The following is a 17811-nucleotide window of genomic DNA, read 5'->3' as shown; positions in this document are numbered from 1 at the left end:
GCGGATCGGGGCTGGAGCCCAGGCTGGGGGCAGTGCTGGCATGCACAGCTCTGGCATTCCTACAGAGAGGGGCTGCCAGCCTCACTTTGCCCCCGTGTCAGCTGCATGGTGGCGAGGGGCAGCCGATCGGACAGACTGAGACAGACAGGGCTGTGCGCAGGAAGGTGGCAGCCACAAAGCCGTCAGTCCAGCTCTGCCTGGCAGCACTACCCCTAGTCCAAGGAGGGGGCGGGGACCCAGGTCTTCCTGCAGCGGGGCTCAGAGTTGAGGACCCCTCTCCATTGACCTTCACACCAGCTGGTGAGGTGGGGCTATTCTCCCACATGGGGAAAATGAGGCACGAAGCCACATGGCCCCAGTCACCCCGCTGTTGATCTGGTTTTGGCTCCAGTGGCAGCGCTCCAGGCCCCTTACCCGGCTCGCCTTGTCCCTCTCGCAGTTGGACGCCCCCGCCCCTGCCCCCTTCTGCGCCCCCTCAGCACTGCTCCGCGTTCTCAGTCCTCCAGCTCTGGCCCTGGGCAGCGCTTAGCCCGGTTGCAAAGGTGCAGTTTGCTTCCTAGTGGCTTCAAGGCTATGCCCTGCCGGAAGCTGTGAGCCCTGGGGAAGGGGACCTGTCCTTTCCTCCCCACATCTCTGCACCAGGCCTGGCGCCGACCAGCCTCAGGAGATACTGTGGGCGAAACAGTGAAGGAATGAAAGGGCCGTGGCGGGGGCCATCTGCCTCTCTGGACCCCCCCATGCGTCTGCGTCCGGGTGAGCAGGCAGGCCCTGATAGCTCTCCTGTGTCCCCAGCCCTACCACCCTACAAACCCCAGGACCATGAAGAACCTCCTCCCTCTTCACCATCGTCTACTACCGCCCCGGAGGACTGGGAAGACCCTGTGCCCAAGTCTGAAGACCTAGCTGGCAGCCCACTCCCATCTTGACATCACCCTCCCCTCAAGGCTGATACTCCCGCCGCAGCCCCTTCCCCACTGATCTGCCTTTGTCTCTCTCTCTTGCAGCCAACAGCTCCCTGCTCGGAGGCGGTGGCGGTGAGTGGACCTTCTGTCTTGGTGGGGGTGGGGTGTGGCATCTCCCCTGCTGGGTCTGCTCCTCCCCTGCCCCTCGCCCTCGGTGCCCATCTCACTGCAATCCACCTTCCCCACTGTCCTCACAGGGTGCCTCCCTTCCCCAGAGCTGGAGACCTGGATGGCAGGCCTGGCACCCTCACCACCAGGCAACCTGGGCCAGCTCCCCACCCCTCTGAATGCAGGCCTCCTGCTCTGTAACTGGGCAGGGGCCACAAGTGTGGTGGAAAAAACCCAGCCCTGACCTTGATCTCCCTGTGACCTTGGGCAGCTCTGTCCCTTTTGGCCTCAGTTTCCCCACCTGTGAGGGCAAAATTATCATCTCTACCCTGCCCTTGGACCTCGGGCTCCGCAGCCAGGACAGGTCTCACAAAGTCAGGGAGAGAGCTGCCAGCTCTCAGCCCTGGGATGTCTCTGTGTCTGCCATTGTTAACGACCACCACGGAGCAGGGGTTCTGGAAGGGCCAGGCAGGCAGGAGGTCAGAGGTCAGGGTGGGCCTGGCCGCAAGGGATACAGGCCAGGTCACAGATACCAAGCGGGCGTGTCCCTGTACCCCCAGCACCTGCCTCCATGGCCAGCCCACCTAGGGCAGACCACACCAGCCCCTCAGCCCAGTCCTGCAGCCCCCCAGCTGGCCAGGCTGCCCGCTGTCTGCACAGGCAGCAGGATGATTGGTGAGCTAGGGGCCAGGGGTTAATGTGCCGTCGGATAAATCCCGGGGGCCGTGTTTACGGCAGCGGTGGCAGGGCCCAGGCCAGGTTTTAAAAGGGGGAAAAATAAAAGGGGCATAAAGGTCAGGAATAAATAAGAGCAGCATTAAGAGCTGTCGGTGACCAGCCAGGATGCAGAATGGGGGTCTGTTTGTGGCTGAGATGTTTTCCCTCCTCCCCATTCTCCTCTAGCTGTCCCCATGGAGGTCACAGCTCCCCAGAGGCCTCACAGAATGAGGGGCTTTGCCGGGGACTGTGGTCCTGAAAACAGACCACCTAGGACCCTCTTCCGAAGCCTGTCCTTTTGGAGGACACTTTGCAGACCTGACACCTGCATGTCCCACCCACAGCACCCTGCCCTTCCTCCGTTCATTGATCACCCCTGTGTGCCGGGCCCCGAGCTGGGTGCCAGGACAGGTACTGCCGGGCACAGATGGGCCTGGTCCCTGTCCCCTGAGCTCCCAGTGCAGATGAGAGCACCACCAAGACACAGGGTGATCTGTGGTGTGGGGGTGGGGGTGGGAGTGGCACCATAGGAGCTTGATGAGGAGTGCCTGTCCCTGCTTGGGCATCAGGAAGGCTTCTAGAAGGAGGTGGTGCCTCCTCTGCAATCTGAGGGATGCGTAGGCATGAGCCCAGCGAAGAGTGCTGGGAAGGGTGTCCCGGGCAGAGGGAACAGCGCAGGCAAAGGCCTGGAAGTGGAGGAGAGGGAGGCTCTGACACAGGAATGACTGGAGCCCAGCCAAGAGGTGGGGAGATGGGAGATGGCCCAGGATCCCAGACAGCCTGTGAGGAGCGAGATCTTTAGCCATTCAGTTCAGGAAGATAAAGGATCACAAAGGGGGTGGGCCTTTCTGTCCCACATCAGCTCATCGAGTCTCTTCTGCCCACCACCCTGCCAGGGTTCTTGTCTCACTCAGGGCCTAGGCCAAGTTCCTTAGCATGGCCCGTTAGGTCCCCAGTCACCTCTCACAGTCACCTCCGCACTGCCACCCTCTCCACTTTGCTCCGGCCACCCTGGCCTCCCTGGACAGGCCCCGCCCACTCCTGCCTCCGGGCCTTTGCCCTGGCAGTTCCTTCTGCCTGCAATGCCCTTGCTCCAGTTGTCCACGCGGCTGCTCCGTTCACTCCGACAGGCCTTGACTTGAATACCATCTCTCAGGGGGGTCCACCCTGGCCCCTAGCTGAAATTGCAGCTGCCTCCCCTGCCCCATGCTGGCACTCCCCCGGCCCCCACCCTGCTGTGGTTTTAACTTTTCTGAGCACCTGTCTCCTTCTAATGTGCTGTATAATTTACTTACATATTGTGTTCCTTGTCTTCTACCCCCTGAAAATGAAAGACTGTATCTGGGGCTGGCACTTATAATAAGTGCTCAGTAAATGTTTGTAATCCCAGCCTATAATCCTAGCACTTTGGGAGGCCGAGGCAGGAGGATTGCTTGAGCCCAGGAATTTGAGACCAGCCTGGGGAACATAGTAAGACCCCATCTCTACAAAAAAAAATCAACTAACCATGCTAGCATGTGTGCCTGTAGTCATAGCTTGGGAGGCTGAGGTAGGAGGATCACTTGAGCCCGGGCGGTTAAGGCTGCAGTGAGCCATGATTGCGCCACTGCCCTCCAGCCAGGGTGACAGAGTTAGACCCTGTCTCAAAAAACAAGGAACAAGGGGCCGGGCATGGTGGCTCATGCCTGTAATCCCAGCACTTTGGGAGGCCAAGGCAGGTGGATCACCTCAGGTCAAGAGTTCGAGACCAGCCTGGCCAACATGGTGAAACCCTGTCTCTACTAAAAATATAAAAATTAAGGCCAGGAGCGGTGGCTCACACCTGTAATTCCAGTTCTTTGGGAGGCTGAAGTGGGCAGATCACGAGGTCAGGAGTTCAAGACAAGCCTAGCCAACATGGTGAAGCCCCGTCTCTACTAAAAATACAAAAATTAGCTGGGCATGGTGGTACACACCTGTAATCCCAGCTACTCAGAAGGCTGAGGCAGGAGAATTGCTTGAACCCCATAGGCAGGGGCTGCAGTGAGCCAAGATCACACCACTGCACTCCAGCTTGGGTAACACAGCGAGACCCTGTCTCAAAAAAAAAAAAAGTTTATTGAATGAATGAACTACAGGTAAAGGTGGAGATGACCCTACACATTAAGCAACGGACTTACCCAAGGGCAGCTGGTGGAAACCAAAGATGTTTTGGCAAATCCAGGAGTGGCTCACAGATGGCCTGTGACCTCACTCTAGGAAGTGGAGGGGCCCTGCCCTGGCCACTCAGAGGCATGGCAGAGGTCTCTCTGGTTCTCCTTCCAGCATTTAGGGGTGCGGAGCGGCTGGCACAGGCCTCTCACACAACCTGACTGATGGAGAGATGGACGGGGCGGGTGCCCCTGGAGGAAGTGGGCCCGGAGTCCAACCTTTTAACATGGGCTGAGATTTATGGAGCCGCCGCCAGCACTTGCTGGGACTGTCACTCTGCTAATGTGATTGGAACACAGTGGAGGTGGTGGGGAGGGGGCTGTGGTAGGGACGATGCTGGGGCTGGAATGGAGCCCAGCCTGGTCCCCGGAGGTGCTCTGCCCTCCCCTATACCCCTGCTCCTCCCACCATCCTTTGAGTTCATCCAGTCCTAATCGCCTACCTGCCCAAGTTAGACCCCATCTGACTCTGCCCAGACACACCCATCTTCCCGTGGGGTCCCTGGACATCCCTCCTACAGGAGTTCAGGCCTCTACCCGCGCCCCTCCCATGACCAGCCACCCATTGTTCGAACACGCACAAGGGCCATCCTGCCTGCCCTGGCCACTCTGCCCAGAACCCTGATGCACTGCCCTGCTCCATGTCTTCGTCCCGCAGCCCTGATTCCCTGCTTGCGTTTTGTGTTTGTTCTTCATTGCCTGCCTCCCCACCGGAATGGACTCCCCCGAGGGCAGGGTTATGGGAGATTCTGAGCTCCTAGAAGAGCTTCCTGCTTTGAAGTAAATAATTAACATCTGTGGTGCAGTGAGTGGCACCCTCTGTGTGCCCTGGGAGCCAGGGACACAGCTCTCAGTCTGGCACCCACATCCCATCCCCTCACCCTGGGGACTGCCAGTCTGCCAGTCCCTCAATGGAGAGGGGCAGCAGGCAACACCCTGGCCAACACCCCAATCAGCATCCTAGCCAACAGCCCAACCAACATGCCAGCCAACACCCCAACAACATGCCAGCCAACACCCCAACCAGCATGCCAGCCAACACCCCAAACAATACACCAGCAAACACCCCAACCAACACCCCAACCAACACCCCAGCCAACACGCCAGCCAACACCCCAACAAATACCCCAACCAACATGCCAACCAGCATCCTAACACCCCAACCAACTCGTGCCAACCAATATGCCAGCCAACACCCCAACCAACATGCCAACCAACACCCCAGCCAACACTTCAACACCCCAACCAACATGCCAGCCAACACGCCAGCCAACATCCCAACCAACACCTCAACCAACACACCAGCCAACATCCCAACCAACACCCCAACCAACACATGCCAACCAACATGCCAGCCAACACCCCAACCAACATGCCAGCCAACACCCTGGCCAACACCCCAACCAACATGCCAGCCAACACCCCAAACAATACACCAGCAAACACCCCAACCAACACTCCAGCCAACATGCAAGCCAACACCCCAACCAATACCCCAACCAACATGCCAGCCAACATCCCAAACACCCCAACCAACTCGTGCCAACCAATATGCCAGCCAACACCCCAACCAACATGCCAACCAACACCCCAACCAACATGCCAGCCAACATGCCAGCCAACACCCCAACCAACACACCAGCCAGCACCCCAACTAACACCCCAAACAACACTCCAACCAACACCCCAGCCAACACCTCAAGCAACATGGCAGCCAACACCCCAATCAACATGCCAGCCAACATCCCAACCAACACATGCCAACCAACATGCCAGCCAACGCCCCAACCAACACACCAACCAACACCCCAACCAACACCCCAGCCAACACCCCAACCAACATGCCAGCCAGCACCCCAACCAACACCCCAACATGTCAGCCAACATCTCAACCAACACTCCAGCCAACACCCCGGTCAACACCCCAGCCAACATCCCAGCCAACACTCCAACCAACACTCCAACCAACACCCCAACCAACACCCCAAACAACATACCAGCCAACACTCCAACACCCCAACATGCCAGCCAACACCCCAACCAACATGCCAGCCAGCACCCCAACCAACACCCCAGCTAACACTCTGGGCAACACCCCAACCAATATGCCAACCAACACCCCAGCCAACACACCAACCAACACCCCAGGCAACACTTCAACCAACACCCCAACCAACCCCCCAACCAACACCCCAGCCAACCCCCCAACCAACACCCCAACCAACACCCTGGGCAACACCCCAGCCAACACCCCAGCCAACACCCCAACCAACAACCCAGCCAACACCCCAACCAACACCCCAACCAATACCCCAGGCAACAACCCAACCAACATCCCAGCCAACACCCCGGCCAACACCCTGGTGTGGGTAGTGGCGTGGAGTTCCTGCCAGGAGGGGCCGGCGCAACTGGGGCTCAGAAGATGGGGCTGGGACTGGCCTGCAGGGCTTTGGGGCCCGAGCCCACTGTTTTTACGGCAAATGTGCGGTGATTTAGAGCAGAAGAGGGCTGCAGTCTCAGGGGAGCAGAGAAGGGAGTCTCCCGGGCACCCCCAATGCAGTGAGAGCCCCCAGGGGCTGCTGGGGCTAAAGGGACTTAACCTGGAGGGCACAGGACTCCTGTGCCTGCCTCACTCTGGGCCTGGACCCCCACCCACCACACCCTGGGGCCGAACTAGATGGTGCTGGCAATGCAGTGAGTCCTGGGGAAGTCCCCCTACTCCCTTACTACCCATTCTTCCCTGGAGCTCTCTCTGAGTTGAGGGAGCTATGCCAAATGCTGGGACTCAGGGCTTGGCTCTGCCTTCAGGGAGACCCAGTTTGGTAGGAGGCTTCCCAGCAGAGGGAGCATTTGACTTGGGTCCCGAAGGCTAAATAGGAGTTCTGCAGGTAGAGCAGGATGGACGGGCCCCCCAGGGGGAAGGCCTGTGTCTGCTTCAGGAAGGCTTGATGGGCTTGGGGCAGCTGCCAGCCTTCCCGACAGACCCTTTGGCCTGGTGTCTGCCAGGCCCCCTCCTCTCTCCCACCTCCCTCCTGGAAAGCTTTTACTGGCTCAATAAAAACATTTTTTAAAACACTCTCCTATTGTATGGTAAGAAGGGAGGCAGGTCCTAAATCAGGATGGGAATCGACAGAGCCCTGACGCCCGTGTCTCTCCTGTTTATTAGGACTGAAATGTTTACTCGGAGATAAGGAGCCGGCTTTCTCGGGGAGATTTGTGCGCTCTTTTTCAATTACCCCTCGTCTTTCTCTGCCACTTTTGCACTAAAGGGATAATAAATGTATCCGAGCGTTTCAATTATTCATCTAAATCATGACTGCGCCTGCCACGGCCAAGCTTTAGTGACAGATTAATTCAGGGCCGCCTTCCTCTGGCTGCGTGGCCGCCATCTCTACTCCGGCCTGGCCAGCGCCCCAAAGGGTCAGCTCCTGGCATGGGTGGGAGGGAGTCAGGCAGGTCCCTGGCAGGCGGGCAGGAGAGGATGGAACCCCATCCCCAACCTCCCCACATTCTGTCTGGGGCCTTCCTGAGGTTAGCGACCCCGCTCAAACTGCAGGAGCCGAGCCTGCCTGTGTGGGTGCAGCTGCCCCTGCCCCCATGCCGTCGGCCCTGAGCACCTCTGCACCCTGTGCTGGCAGGGCAAGCCCGTGTGTGTGTCTCCTACACCGCCCAAGAGAAGCTAGGGTGGCTGGGCTTCCCTCACTGTCTTCCCCTAGCACCGGGCCTTTGCACATGCTGCTCCCGGGCCCGAGCGCTCCTCTGCCCTCCTGTCGCAACCCTCCCGCCTAGTTTCACCTTCCCATGTCAGGGCAGCCCCTCCGACACCCCCTCCACTGCTGCATTTAGTGAAGGTCTGCCAGGTGGACAACACTCCCTGTCCCGCGCCCGCACCCTAACCCTGGGCGCCTCTCCCCAGGCCCCACCGCAGACTCCCTCACCTGCTCAGAAGCCGCCACCCAGGGCCGGTCCCTCCTCACACACATGCTGGGACCCTGGGGGCCAGCCGAGCGCTCTCCCCCACAACCCTGCCTCTCTCCCTCACCTCTTTCTCTTGCCACCTCCCTCTCTCCCTCGTTTTCTCCATTTCTCCCTCCACGCTTTGCCTCTCCCTGGCTCCCTCTCCCTTCTCCTGTCGTTCTTTCTCTCTGGCTCTGGCTGGTTCTCTGTTCGTAGACCCGCAGGCCCGGGAGGATTCGCCCAGGCCTCTAAGTATTCAGCGCTCGACTCCTGCCCGGCTCACAAGCGCTCCGCGCCCTGCTCTGGCGCTATCTCCCATCGCCCGGCCGCTGCTAATCCGTGATTGCTTCCCGCGGCCGCTAGGAAAAGGCTCAGCTCCGGCCGCTCCGATTAGCCGTGGCCTTGCTCTGCGAGCAGATAAACGTGACCTCCGTGGCCTGTGGCCAGCCTCGGCCCTCTGGAGGCGGGGCTGTGTGCGGCCCTCCCCTCCCCAGCAGGGCTGAGCTCAGAAGCAGCAGGCAGCCGGAAGGGCTGGGCAGTCCCCGCACCTGTCCCTGTGCCAGTCTGGTGGGTGTTGTGTGTGCAGGGTGGGCGTGCCGGGACCCTCTGGCGTGGGGCTGTCTGGCAAAGGGCGAGGGGGGAGGGGGCTGTGCTTCAGCATAGAAGGGAAGGGCGTGTCCAGAAGAGGGAACAGAAGAGGGTCCAGAGGCCGAACCAGAACACGTCCCTTCACTGATGGAAACTTCCCACCGCGCTCGAATCAATTCCCAATTGCTCGACTCCTCGCACCTCCCGGGAGGTCCTGTAGAGGCAGCGCTCCCTCCCAGCCTCACCCGCCGGCCTGTTCCTGCCACAGGGCTCTGCCCTTCCTGAGCTCTCCGCCCGGACTCTCATCCCGGACTCTCCTCCCCATCTCCTTCCAAAGCCAGTTCTTTCTCATTACTCAGGGCTCTGCTCCAATGCCACCTCCTCGGAGGGGCCACCTCATCCTCTGAACGGCGCCCATCCCTCCCTCCTTCCTCGGGGCCAGCTCCATTTTCCCCTTCTCCTTTTTCACCACGCCCACAACTTAGAGCCGCGTGTCCCGTCCCTAGAACTGCTGCGGCCACAGGACTCCTGGCCCTTGCATAGGGCTGGCACGTGGCACGTCGCCCCCGAGCCCTCGTACGCATTTTTTGAATGGTAGAGTTTGGAACCAGTAGGAGGGGCGCGGGAGGCAGTGAATTCATCTGAGAGGGAGGCTGCAGGGAGCCCCAGAGAGTCCAGGAAAGCTTTGTTGGAGTTGAGGATTTTATTCCATGTACTCTTGGGAGCCATGGGAGGTTTTATGACAGGGGATGCGTGCCCTTCCCCAAGGAAAGGCCCCCAGGCCTTCCTGCCACCCCTGCCTGACCCCAGTTGATGATGGTGCCAACGGCAGCCAGGCATTCTCAGTACTTACGACATGGCCACCAGCACCCTTTGAACCTCTCCCTGAAGAATCTCATACACCCTCACCCCGCCCTATGGGAGGCATCATTAGCGTCTCCATTTTGCAGGTGGAGAAACTGAGGCACTAAGTCCCTGGAGCTGAACCTCACTTCCCGCCCCACCCCGCAGCTGGCCCCTGTGTAAGAGGGAGGCTGGGACTTGGGGCCCCTGTCCCGTGGCCACAACTTTGACCAGGCAGGGCTGTGGAGCTCCTGCTCTGTCCCCAGCAGGCACGATGCCACCAAGCCCCGGCATGCAGCTGCCACAGGGATTTTTAATAACGGGAGTGATTTTTGCATGATGAATGAGGCACTGCCGTTGTGTACATAATGAAGCCCTAATGTTTTCAAATCCCCATTTAAGGAGCTGATCTCACCCCGTAATGAATTTCAGATCTCATCACAGAACTGTCGTCCATCCATCTTCTCCCCCGGGCACCCACCCGCCTTGGCACCGAGAGGGTGGGGCCTGGTGAGGATGGGCTCTGCACCCTGCTGGGCTGAGCTCAAGCCTAGCACAGAGCCGGGGCTGGCTAGAGTTTGTTGATTGAATGGCCGACCAGGAGGGTGTGAGCAGAAGCAAAGATGGTTCCGGCAATGGGATATCGCTCAGGTCTTGGCCTAGTTGAATAGAAGCCAGAGGTGGAGAATGAGGAGTGGGCTGGGAGAGAAGAGAGCGCAAGACCCTTGGGTAGGTCACTTATCCGGTCTTTGTGGCTAAACCTTCCCTCTGCAGGGTTAGAAGCCTGGGGCAGCAAGTCAGATGTCTGCCCTTGACGCAGTTGGTACCCTCTCAGAGACTCAGTTTCCCCCATTTCCCCGGGAGCCTTGTCCCTTTCTGCCTTGGCATCTGGTATTTCTGTAGCCCTCCTCCAGAGAGGGAAACCAGCATGGGCTGCACCGAGGCTTGGCTGCCAATGCCCTCCAGGCTGTGCCCAGCCCGTCCAGGCGGGAGTGGTCCCTGGAGCCCAGACCCCTGGTCCTTCCTGGGCTGGAGGGGAGACACACCCCTCCCTCAAACCCCAGCTCACACCTCTGCCTCCCCAAGGCCCTCTGTCTCCAGCCCTCCTGCCTGCCTTCTCAGGGGCATCTCCACCCTGGCAGTGCAGCCAGTCCCTGGGGTACAAGGCCCCCAAAAGCATGACAGGGCAAAGGAATCCCCTGCCTGTGAAGTCCATGGCTGAGCCTCAGCCTCCCATCTGTAAAAAGGGGATCCTCCCATACAGCCCCCAAAAGCTCATTTCAGAGGCGTGAGGTTGAGCCAGAGAGGTATGAGACTCGGCACCTGAGAGGCAGGGCCAGACGCTGCAGTCACAGGGCAGCAGGCTGGACACCCAGCCAGCCCAGGCCCCACTCACCCCCACAACCTTGCCCAGGCCCCCCTTCCTGTTCACCTCCCTGCTCTTGGGGCCCACAGGAGTCTAGGAAGGTGGGGGCCAGGGGCAAGAGCTGCCCAGGCAAGGCCTTACACTTTGCTGTGTGGCTCTGGGAAAGTGGCTTTGCCTCTCTGAGCCTATCACTACTTCTGTACGATGAGGGTTAATAATGTGGGTCTTGGCCGGGCGCGGTGGCTCACGCCTATAATCCCAGCACTTTGGGAGGCCGAGGCGGGCGGATCACAAGGTCAGGAGTTCAAGACCAGCCTGGCCAACATGGCAAAACCCCACCTCTACTAAAAATACAAAAACTAGCCAGGCATCATGGCACACGCCTGTAATCCCAGCTACTCAGGAGGCTGAGGCAGGAGAATTGCTTGAACCCGGGAGGCGGAGGTTGCAGTGAGCTGAGATCATGCCATTGCACTCCAGCCTGGGCAACGAGCAAAAAACTGTCTCAATAAATAAATAAATAAATAAATAAAGTGGATCTTAGTTTCTGCTCCTCCTCTCACTGTGGGGCCTTGGACAGGTTGCTTAACCCCCCTGGCCCTCAGTCTCCCATCCCCCTTGACACCTTCCAGCATATCTCAGTGCTCCCCACCACTCTTTTTTCTTTTCTTTGAGATGGGGTCTTACTATGTTGTCCAGGCTGGTCTCGAACTCCTGAGCTCAAGTGACCCTCCCACCTCAGCCTCCCAAAGTGCTGAGATTACAGGCATGAGTCACCCCTCCCAGCCCCCACCAGTCTCTGGAGGCCAGAGCTCTGAGACTCAGAGAGGTTAAGTGACTTGCCCCAAACCACCAGCAATCTCGTGGCCAGGAATTCTGGGAAGAGAAATCCCAAAGAGGGCACAGCGTGGGCCAGCCCCACGGGATGGTAGGGGGAATGGGGGAGCAGAGAGAGACCAGGAGCAGGTCCAGGCCTGCGGGTTGGGGTGCCCTGCCCTCGGTAGGGGCACAGCTGCCCTCCTGGTCCTGTGGGCCACAGGCCTCCTTATGTTCCTGTAAATAATTAATTAGCCCCTGCCTGCTTGTTTGTTTAGCATGAGGAATGCTCCCCCACTGAGATGCATTTATTGCTGAATAAATTTAAATATCTAATCTTCCCTTCATGCATATTACAGCACCCTAAATAGCGGCCAACTCATCCTAAGCGCCTTGGCGGATGGCCCCACCGGAGCCTGCCTGCCTTCCGCCTCTGCTGGCTCTGAGGACTGCCCACTCCTGGTGCCCTCCACTGCCCCAGGAATGCCCAGGGCCATGGGCAATCACTCAGCCCAGCCCTCCTTCCTTCCACAACATCCTTCCATGGGAGGCGCACAGATGCTGGGCTGAATGCTGGCCGTGGAGGCTGGAAGGCAGGGCTTTACCACAGCAAAGCAGGGAGATGCCTAAGATGGGGCGGAGGGTCAAGGGCCGCTCAGAGGCCAGGGCTTGGGGCAGAAAGAGGTTCCTCCGGGCTCAGGCGAGGGCAGGCAGAGCCCCAGTGGCATTTGAGGAGCGGCCTGAGGAACGAGAGCCCACGAAGGAGACGGGAAGTCCCGCTGGATGGAGGGAGCCGTCAGCGCTGGGGGCAGCCAAACCGTCCAGAAAGACAGTGGCCTCAGAACACTGTGCAACAAGAGGCCACCAGGGCAGCCCCCCTGCTGGAAGGGGACGTGCTGATGTGGGGAGACACTGCCTCCCCAAGAGCGTGGACAGGGGGCCATTCAAACCAGTCAGCCAGAGTGGTTCAGGGCGAGGCCCTTTAGTGGTCCCAGAGGAAGCAGAGCCACTGAGGTTGGGAGCCCAACCTTCCAGCCGTGTGGGCAAGTTTTGCTCTCTGTGCCTCAGTTTCTTCTTCTATAAACAGGAAAAATAATAAGACAGCGGCTGTAAATCACCACGCAGGTGCTTACCCAACAAGAAGGCTGACAAAGGCCATGGGGGGTGAGTCATACCAGCTACTTAGGAGGCTTAGGCAGGGCAACATAGCAAGACCCTGTCTCAAAAAAACACAGGCTCACATCTGTAATCCCAGCACTTTGGGAGGCTGAGACGGGTGGATCACTTGAGGTCAGGAGTTCAAGACCAGCCTGGGCAACATGGTGAAACCCCATCTCTACTAAAAATACAAAAAATCAGCTGGGCATAGTGGTGCGCCCCTGTAAGCTCAGCTACTCGGGAGGCTGAGGCATAAGAATCACTTGAACCCAGGAGGCAGAGGTTGCAGTGAGCCAAGATTGCACCACTGCACTCCAGCCTGGATGATATAGTGAGACAGAGGGCTGATATGAAGGAGCCATATCAGGGGGAGTTTAACGGTAGAGGAGGGTGGAGGGAAGAAGGGGCTGCAGGGAGGAGGCAGAGGGGCCTTAGGGGCCATCTTCTGGCCACAGGTGGAGGAAGGCTTCATCTTTGACCTGATGGAGAAACATCTCAGGGGGGTCCCGCCACCCAAGTGGGCTCTGCCTCCCCAGGAAAGACCCCAGGTTTTCTGCTGACTTGGGGTGAGGGTTGAGCTGGAGCCTGGAGGTTTGTTTTGGTGGCTGAGGGCCCTGGAGAGGAGACTAAGGGTTGGTCAGCTCCTGTGAACTGGGAATACCCCACCTCCACCAGGTAGCCCCAGGGATCAGGGCTGCTGGTCTTTTCCAGCTGCCTTGGGGTGGGGTGGGAAGAGGGAAGAGGGAAGGAAGGGCATCTCCCCTGAATGGGACCCCAGGAAGCTTGAGTCTCTAGGACCTAGCTTAGCCCCAGGTAAGAGCCAGGACAGGGCCTGGAGGGCAGAGCTAAGGGGACTCTGGGAGTGTGTGTGGGAGGGGTCCTTTGGGCCTATGGCTAAGGAGAGCAGGGTGGGGGGGTTCCCCTCTGCACTCTCAGGGGAGAGAGCGAGAAGGCTGGTGTGTGGACAGGGAGGGACACGCAGGCAAGAGGGGCCAGGCTGCACTCTAGCTTGTTGGGGTAGCAGTGGGCTGACAGTGACCTGTCCCTCATCTCTGCTTTAGGGGAGCCCCTCCCTGGGGCCCCTGCAGAGCCATCACCTGGCCCAGGCCCTGTTCTGGAACTGCTGGGGGTGAGGAGGGGGCATCTGGCCTGAGCCCTCTGCCAGCATTGATTCCAGCTCCCTCCACCTCCCTTGCGCCCCCAGGTCAGCCCCAAAGGCCTGGCTGCAGGCCAGTCCACTTCCGCAGGAAACATTAAATTCCTGAAACACTGAGCTCCACTTCCCCGCACGGGCCCCCACAGCTGGCCGAGGTCGCCTGCAGGGCGGTGAGCCCCCAGAGACTTCGAGCAGCCGGTGCCAGGTGCTCGACCCGGGAGGCTCCTAGGAGAGCCAGCTCAGACAGATCCCTGGGCTCACCCCCACACACTGTGAACACCCTGTGTGCACCCACCTCCCATCACACTGATGTACACATACCCGAACATGCCCACACTGTCACACTGTTGTTAATAACAGGATACACTCATGACCTCCATTCTTGCCAAGCACTGCCTTAAGCACATTACAAAGTTAGTTTAACTCAATCCTTCCAACAGCCCAATGAGCTCTGAGGTGGGTGCTATTATCCCATTTTCCAGATGGAGCAACTGAGACCCAGAGAGGTTAAATGATATGTGAGGGGTCACACATCTGTGGCTGGCAGAGCCAGGATGTGAACTCACGTTGCCCAGCTCCACAGCCCAGCCACGGCACCCCATTCGGAACACTCACTTCCCAGCACTGGGAGCTCCAGCCTGGACGCCCGCTCTGGGCCCTGCCTTCTTGCTCCATCTCAGCCTCGCCCTGGGCTACAGCTGCCTTTCTCCCTGCAGAGGAGAGGAGCAGGTGGAAGGGATCCAGGCCTGAGCCGTTCTCAGCGTTCCCCTAACCTCTCTGCCCACCCATCCCTGGGACGCTCTGGGAAATTGCCTGGTGCCAGCTCTGAGTAAAGTTGCAGAATGAGGTTTAATTGTGCCCCCAGGGCACGAGATCAAACAGCAAAAGAAAGGGGTGTGAGCTACCTGGCATCCCTGGAACTGTGCCGAGACTGAGGTGATGAAGGAGAAGGTGGCCTTGGTTTGTCCATCTGTAAAATGGGGAATGATGGTCCTCTCTTGATGCCCGCCTGTGAGCACCAGGCAGCTGGTGCCTGAGGAGCTCCTGGCGTGGGCGATCAGAGCTGCCAAAGATGGGCCCTGTCCTCCCGGCCAGCACGCGGCGTTTTCCTCTGTGGGAGGGTCGCTGTCCCGGTATTCCAGATAAGAGGGTGGACGCCAGAGAGGGGAAGGGGCAGGATCTCACAGCCGATGAGGGGTGAGCCCGGGCTGGACCCAGGCCTGCCTGAGGCCGCGCCTCTCCTGCGCGGTGCCCTGGCGAGGTTGGGCTGCTGGAGCGTTTCCTCCATGCCTCCCGCTGCGCCCCGGTTGTTTATCTGCGCCCGGGTCCCCAGGGTCGCTCGCGAGGCCCTGCAGCCGCCCTCGGATAAACAAGCCCATGCGGGGCCGTAATTAAGCTGGATGCGCTAACGAGGCGGTTCATTAACCAGCTGGGGTTTGCGCGCCAGGAGACTCGGGCCCGGGCGTCGGGCTCACCTCCCCGCGCGGCTGGAAGACCCAGACTCCAGCTACAGATCTGATCACCCTGTAACAAGGTGGCCTCGGTTTCCTCATCCGCAAAATGGGTCCTAGGGTTTGCCGCCGCCCCGTGATGGGGCGCCGCCTGGGGAGGTGGGCCTTGGGATCGCACCGACGCTGAGGCCCGGGCGGAGGCAGCGACTGGTCGCGGGCCCTGCAGCGCGCCCGGGACAGGGCTAGGGAGGGGCGTCGGGGAGGAAGCTTCCCCGTCACCCCGGCTCGGGCGGCGGTTCCTGTCCCGGCGGCCCCCGCCTCCCGGAGCCGCCCTGCCTGGGCCCTGGCGGCGCGGCCTGGAAGGGACAGGGTGGGCCGGGTGCGCCCCCTGCCGGCCTCCTTGCGCGACTTCCCGCCAGGCCCAGGGCCGTCCCGCTCTGCGCCTCGGTTTCCCCAGATGTGAAACATTCCGGGCGGGGGTGGGGGCAGCGGCCGCGGCCGGAGGCCACGGGGTTGGGGCGCGGCTCCGCATGGGTCCTCGCATCGCCGAGGGGCTTCTCGGGACTGAGGGTGCTCACCCCGGGGCCGCAGCCTTGCCAGGCCAGCTCAGTCGCGCCCGCCCTTCCCGCAGTGGACGGCTGCATTCATCGGGCCGCCGGCCCCCTGCTTACCGACGAGTGCCGGACCCTGCAGAGCTGTAAGACTGGCAAGGCCAAGATCACCGGCGGCTATCGGCTCCCGGCCAAGTGTGAGTCCCCGACGCGCCCCCAGCTGTGGGGCGCAGACAGGGCGCCCGTGTGTCACTGGGACATCAGGGGTGCGGCCCCCACAGGAGTGCTGGGGAACTCCTCAGGGGGCCCTTCTTAACCTTAAGGGCCAAGACCCGGCCCCCACCCCGCACACCCCAGGAAGCACATGGGGGAGACCGTGCGTGGAGGCTGAGGATGGAGCTGGGGGGCAACGCCTTCGCGCCCACACTCGCGCTCGGGTCTCAGCCGGGCCCATACAGATGTGGGGAGGGGGCGCGGGGCTCTGTGCGCGTGCGGATTCGGGCTCGAGGGGGCCCACAGGGGTGGGGGCCTTCGCGGAGGAGGCTCAGCGCTTGGGGGGAAAGGTGTTTCCTGCCCCCTTCTGCCCAGGCCGGCAGGGGGAAGCGAGGGAGCTGAGGACCGCGTAGACCCCCGCCGGTCTGACCCCGTCGCCCCCCGTAGACGTCATCCACACAGTGGGGCCCATCGCCTACGGGGAGCCCAGCGCCAGTCAGGCTGCCGAGCTCCGCAGCTGCTACCTGAGCAGTCTGGACCTGCTGCTGGAGCACCGGCTCCGCTCGGTGGTGAGGGACGGCCCGCGGGGGAGGGCGGGAGGCGGGGCGCAGTGACAATGTTCCAACCCCCTCTCACCCCTCCCCGCCCAGGCGTTCCCCTGCATCTCCACCGGCGTGTTTGGTGAGTCTGGAAGAAAGGCAAGGACCAGGAGTGGGCGGTGGACCCAGACGCCGGGAGGGGCCGGGGCGGACAGGGGAGTGGGCGGGGCCAGAGCCTAGGACTCACTCCCGCCCCACCCGCCTCAGGCTACCCCTGTGAGGCGGCCGCCGAGATCGTGCTGGCCACGCTGCGAGAGTGGCTGGAGCAGCACAAGGACAAGGTGAGTCCTGGGCCCGGGCGAGGGTGGGGTCCGCATCCCGGCCAGAGTGACCAGCCCCCATCATCGCCCAGGGAGTCAGGGTGCAGAGCGCAGGGCCAGGCCCGCCCCTTCCTTCCCTGTTTCTCCTGCGCAAGGGCGCCTGGCGGTGGCGAGATGGGGGTGATGGCACACAGCCGTGAGCCTCCGTGAAGGGCGCAGGGCCAGGCAGGTGAAAGCCTGCACCAGGGCAGGCAGTCACAGGATCCTGGGGCCAGGCGTGGCAGCTCGGCCCAGGCTGAGCAGCCCCTGGCGCAGGTGGACCGGCTGATCATCTGCGTGTTCCTCGAGAAGGACGAGGACATCTACCGGAGCCGGCTCCCCCACTACTTCCCCGTGGGTACGTGCCCCGCGCCGCCCCACGGCCCGCCCCTGCCCCGGTCCACCCTGGGGGCGGGCTCTCACTGTCCTCTGCCTTCCAGCCTGAGGCTCCCGCAGCCCACCCTGACCGGGACTGGTAAGCAGGGCCTCGCCCCGTGCGGCGGCCCCGGCCCTAGACTAACCCGCCCACTAACCCCCGCTCACCCCCAAGCAGGGCGGGAAACCACGGGGCAGCCTGGGAGGTCGGGGACGCCCATAGACACCTCTGACTCTGCTCTGCCCTCAGACCCGCCTTCGGGACCCCGCTCCCAGCTCTGAGAGGTCGCCAAAGCCTGCAGCCTGGCCTGGGCCTGGCCACCCCTTCTTTCCCTCCGCGCCCCGCCCCCGAGGAGCCTAATAAAGATCTCGTTGTGGCAGCTCCTACTGTCTGAGCTCTGACTGGGGGGAAGGAAGGCGGCCCAGGTGTTGGATGGAGCCCCTGGCCAGATGCTTTCACTGA

At 61.0% G+C, this 17811-nt stretch overlaps 1 protein-coding gene across 3 annotated transcripts in view, besides 9 other annotated features; it reads left to right on the top strand.

Moving 5' to 3' along the window:
* Positions 1-17728, top strand: part of MACROD1 (mono-ADP ribosylhydrolase 1) — a 167556-nt gene extending 149828 nt beyond the window's left edge. The window contains exons 4-11 of one of the 3 annotated variants that reach the window (NM_014067.4): positions 1005-1034; positions 15943-16059; positions 16523-16644; positions 16726-16756; positions 16882-16955; positions 17250-17331; positions 17414-17448; positions 17599-17728. In NM_014067.4, the coding sequence (NP_054786.2) occupies positions 1005-1034; positions 15943-16059; positions 16523-16644; positions 16726-16756; positions 16882-16955; positions 17250-17331; positions 17414-17418 (461 nt within the window). In that variant the 3' untranslated portion in view covers positions 17419-17448; positions 17599-17728. The remainder of the gene's footprint in view (positions 1-1004; positions 1035-15942; positions 16060-16522; positions 16645-16725; positions 16757-16881; positions 16956-17249; positions 17332-17413; positions 17449-17598) is intronic. The other 2 variants (NM_001411019.1, XM_011544970.3) reach the window with 2 other exon arrangements.
* Positions 7824-8414: an enhancer, noted in NCBI's record as "H3K27ac-H3K4me1 hESC enhancer chr11:63775344-63775934 (GRCh37/hg19 assembly coordinates)". NCBI's record gives its function as "activates a minimal SCP1, AML or CMV promoter by ChIP-STARR-seq in primed H9 embryonic stem cells {active_cell/tissue: H9 hESC(primed)}" and the evidence as "EXISTENCE:reporter gene assay evidence [ECO:0000049][PMID:30033119]".
* Positions 15216-15723: an enhancer, noted in NCBI's record as "H3K27ac-H3K4me1 hESC enhancer chr11:63768035-63768542 (GRCh37/hg19 assembly coordinates)". NCBI's record gives its function as "activates a minimal SCP1, AML or CMV promoter by ChIP-STARR-seq in naive H9 embryonic stem cells {active_cell/tissue: H9 hESC(naive)}" and the evidence as "EXISTENCE:reporter gene assay evidence [ECO:0000049][PMID:30033119]".
* Positions 15216-16671: a biological region, named in NCBI's record as "H3K27ac-H3K4me1 hESC enhancers GRCh37_chr11:63767087-63768022 and GRCh37_chr11:63768035-63768542".
* Positions 15409-15988: a silencer, noted in NCBI's record as "silent region_3455". NCBI's record gives its function as "represses an Ori minimal core promoter by ATAC-STARR-seq in GM12878 lymphoblastoid cells {active_cell/tissue: GM12878}" and the evidence as "EXISTENCE:reporter gene assay evidence [ECO:0000049][PMID:35858748]".
* Positions 15736-16671: an enhancer, noted in NCBI's record as "H3K27ac-H3K4me1 hESC enhancer chr11:63767087-63768022 (GRCh37/hg19 assembly coordinates)". NCBI's record gives its function as "activates a minimal SCP1, AML or CMV promoter by ChIP-STARR-seq in naive H9 embryonic stem cells {active_cell/tissue: H9 hESC(naive)}" and the evidence as "EXISTENCE:reporter gene assay evidence [ECO:0000049][PMID:30033119]".
* Positions 16639-16878: a silencer, noted in NCBI's record as "silent region_3454". NCBI's record gives its function as "represses an Ori minimal core promoter by ATAC-STARR-seq in GM12878 lymphoblastoid cells {active_cell/tissue: GM12878}" and the evidence as "EXISTENCE:reporter gene assay evidence [ECO:0000049][PMID:35858748]".
* Positions 16639-17609: a biological region, named in NCBI's record as "H3K27ac-H3K4me1 hESC enhancer GRCh37_chr11:63766149-63767086".
* Positions 16672-17609: an enhancer, noted in NCBI's record as "H3K27ac-H3K4me1 hESC enhancer chr11:63766149-63767086 (GRCh37/hg19 assembly coordinates)". NCBI's record gives its function as "activates a minimal SCP1, AML or CMV promoter by ChIP-STARR-seq in naive H9 embryonic stem cells {active_cell/tissue: H9 hESC(naive)}" and the evidence as "EXISTENCE:reporter gene assay evidence [ECO:0000049][PMID:30033119]".
* Positions 17009-17098: an enhancer, noted in NCBI's record as "active region_4881". NCBI's record gives its function as "activates an Ori minimal core promoter by ATAC-STARR-seq in GM12878 lymphoblastoid cells {active_cell/tissue: GM12878}" and the evidence as "EXISTENCE:reporter gene assay evidence [ECO:0000049][PMID:35858748]".
* Positions 17729-17811: the final 83 nt, after the last annotated feature.

Source organism: Homo sapiens, chromosome 11 (genome assembly GCF_000001405.40).
Source record: "Homo sapiens chromosome 11, GRCh38.p14 Primary Assembly".
NCBI classification, from domain to species: domain Eukaryota; kingdom Metazoa; phylum Chordata; class Mammalia; order Primates; family Hominidae; genus Homo; species Homo sapiens.
This window is presented reverse-complemented; position numbering and strand designations above follow the sequence as displayed.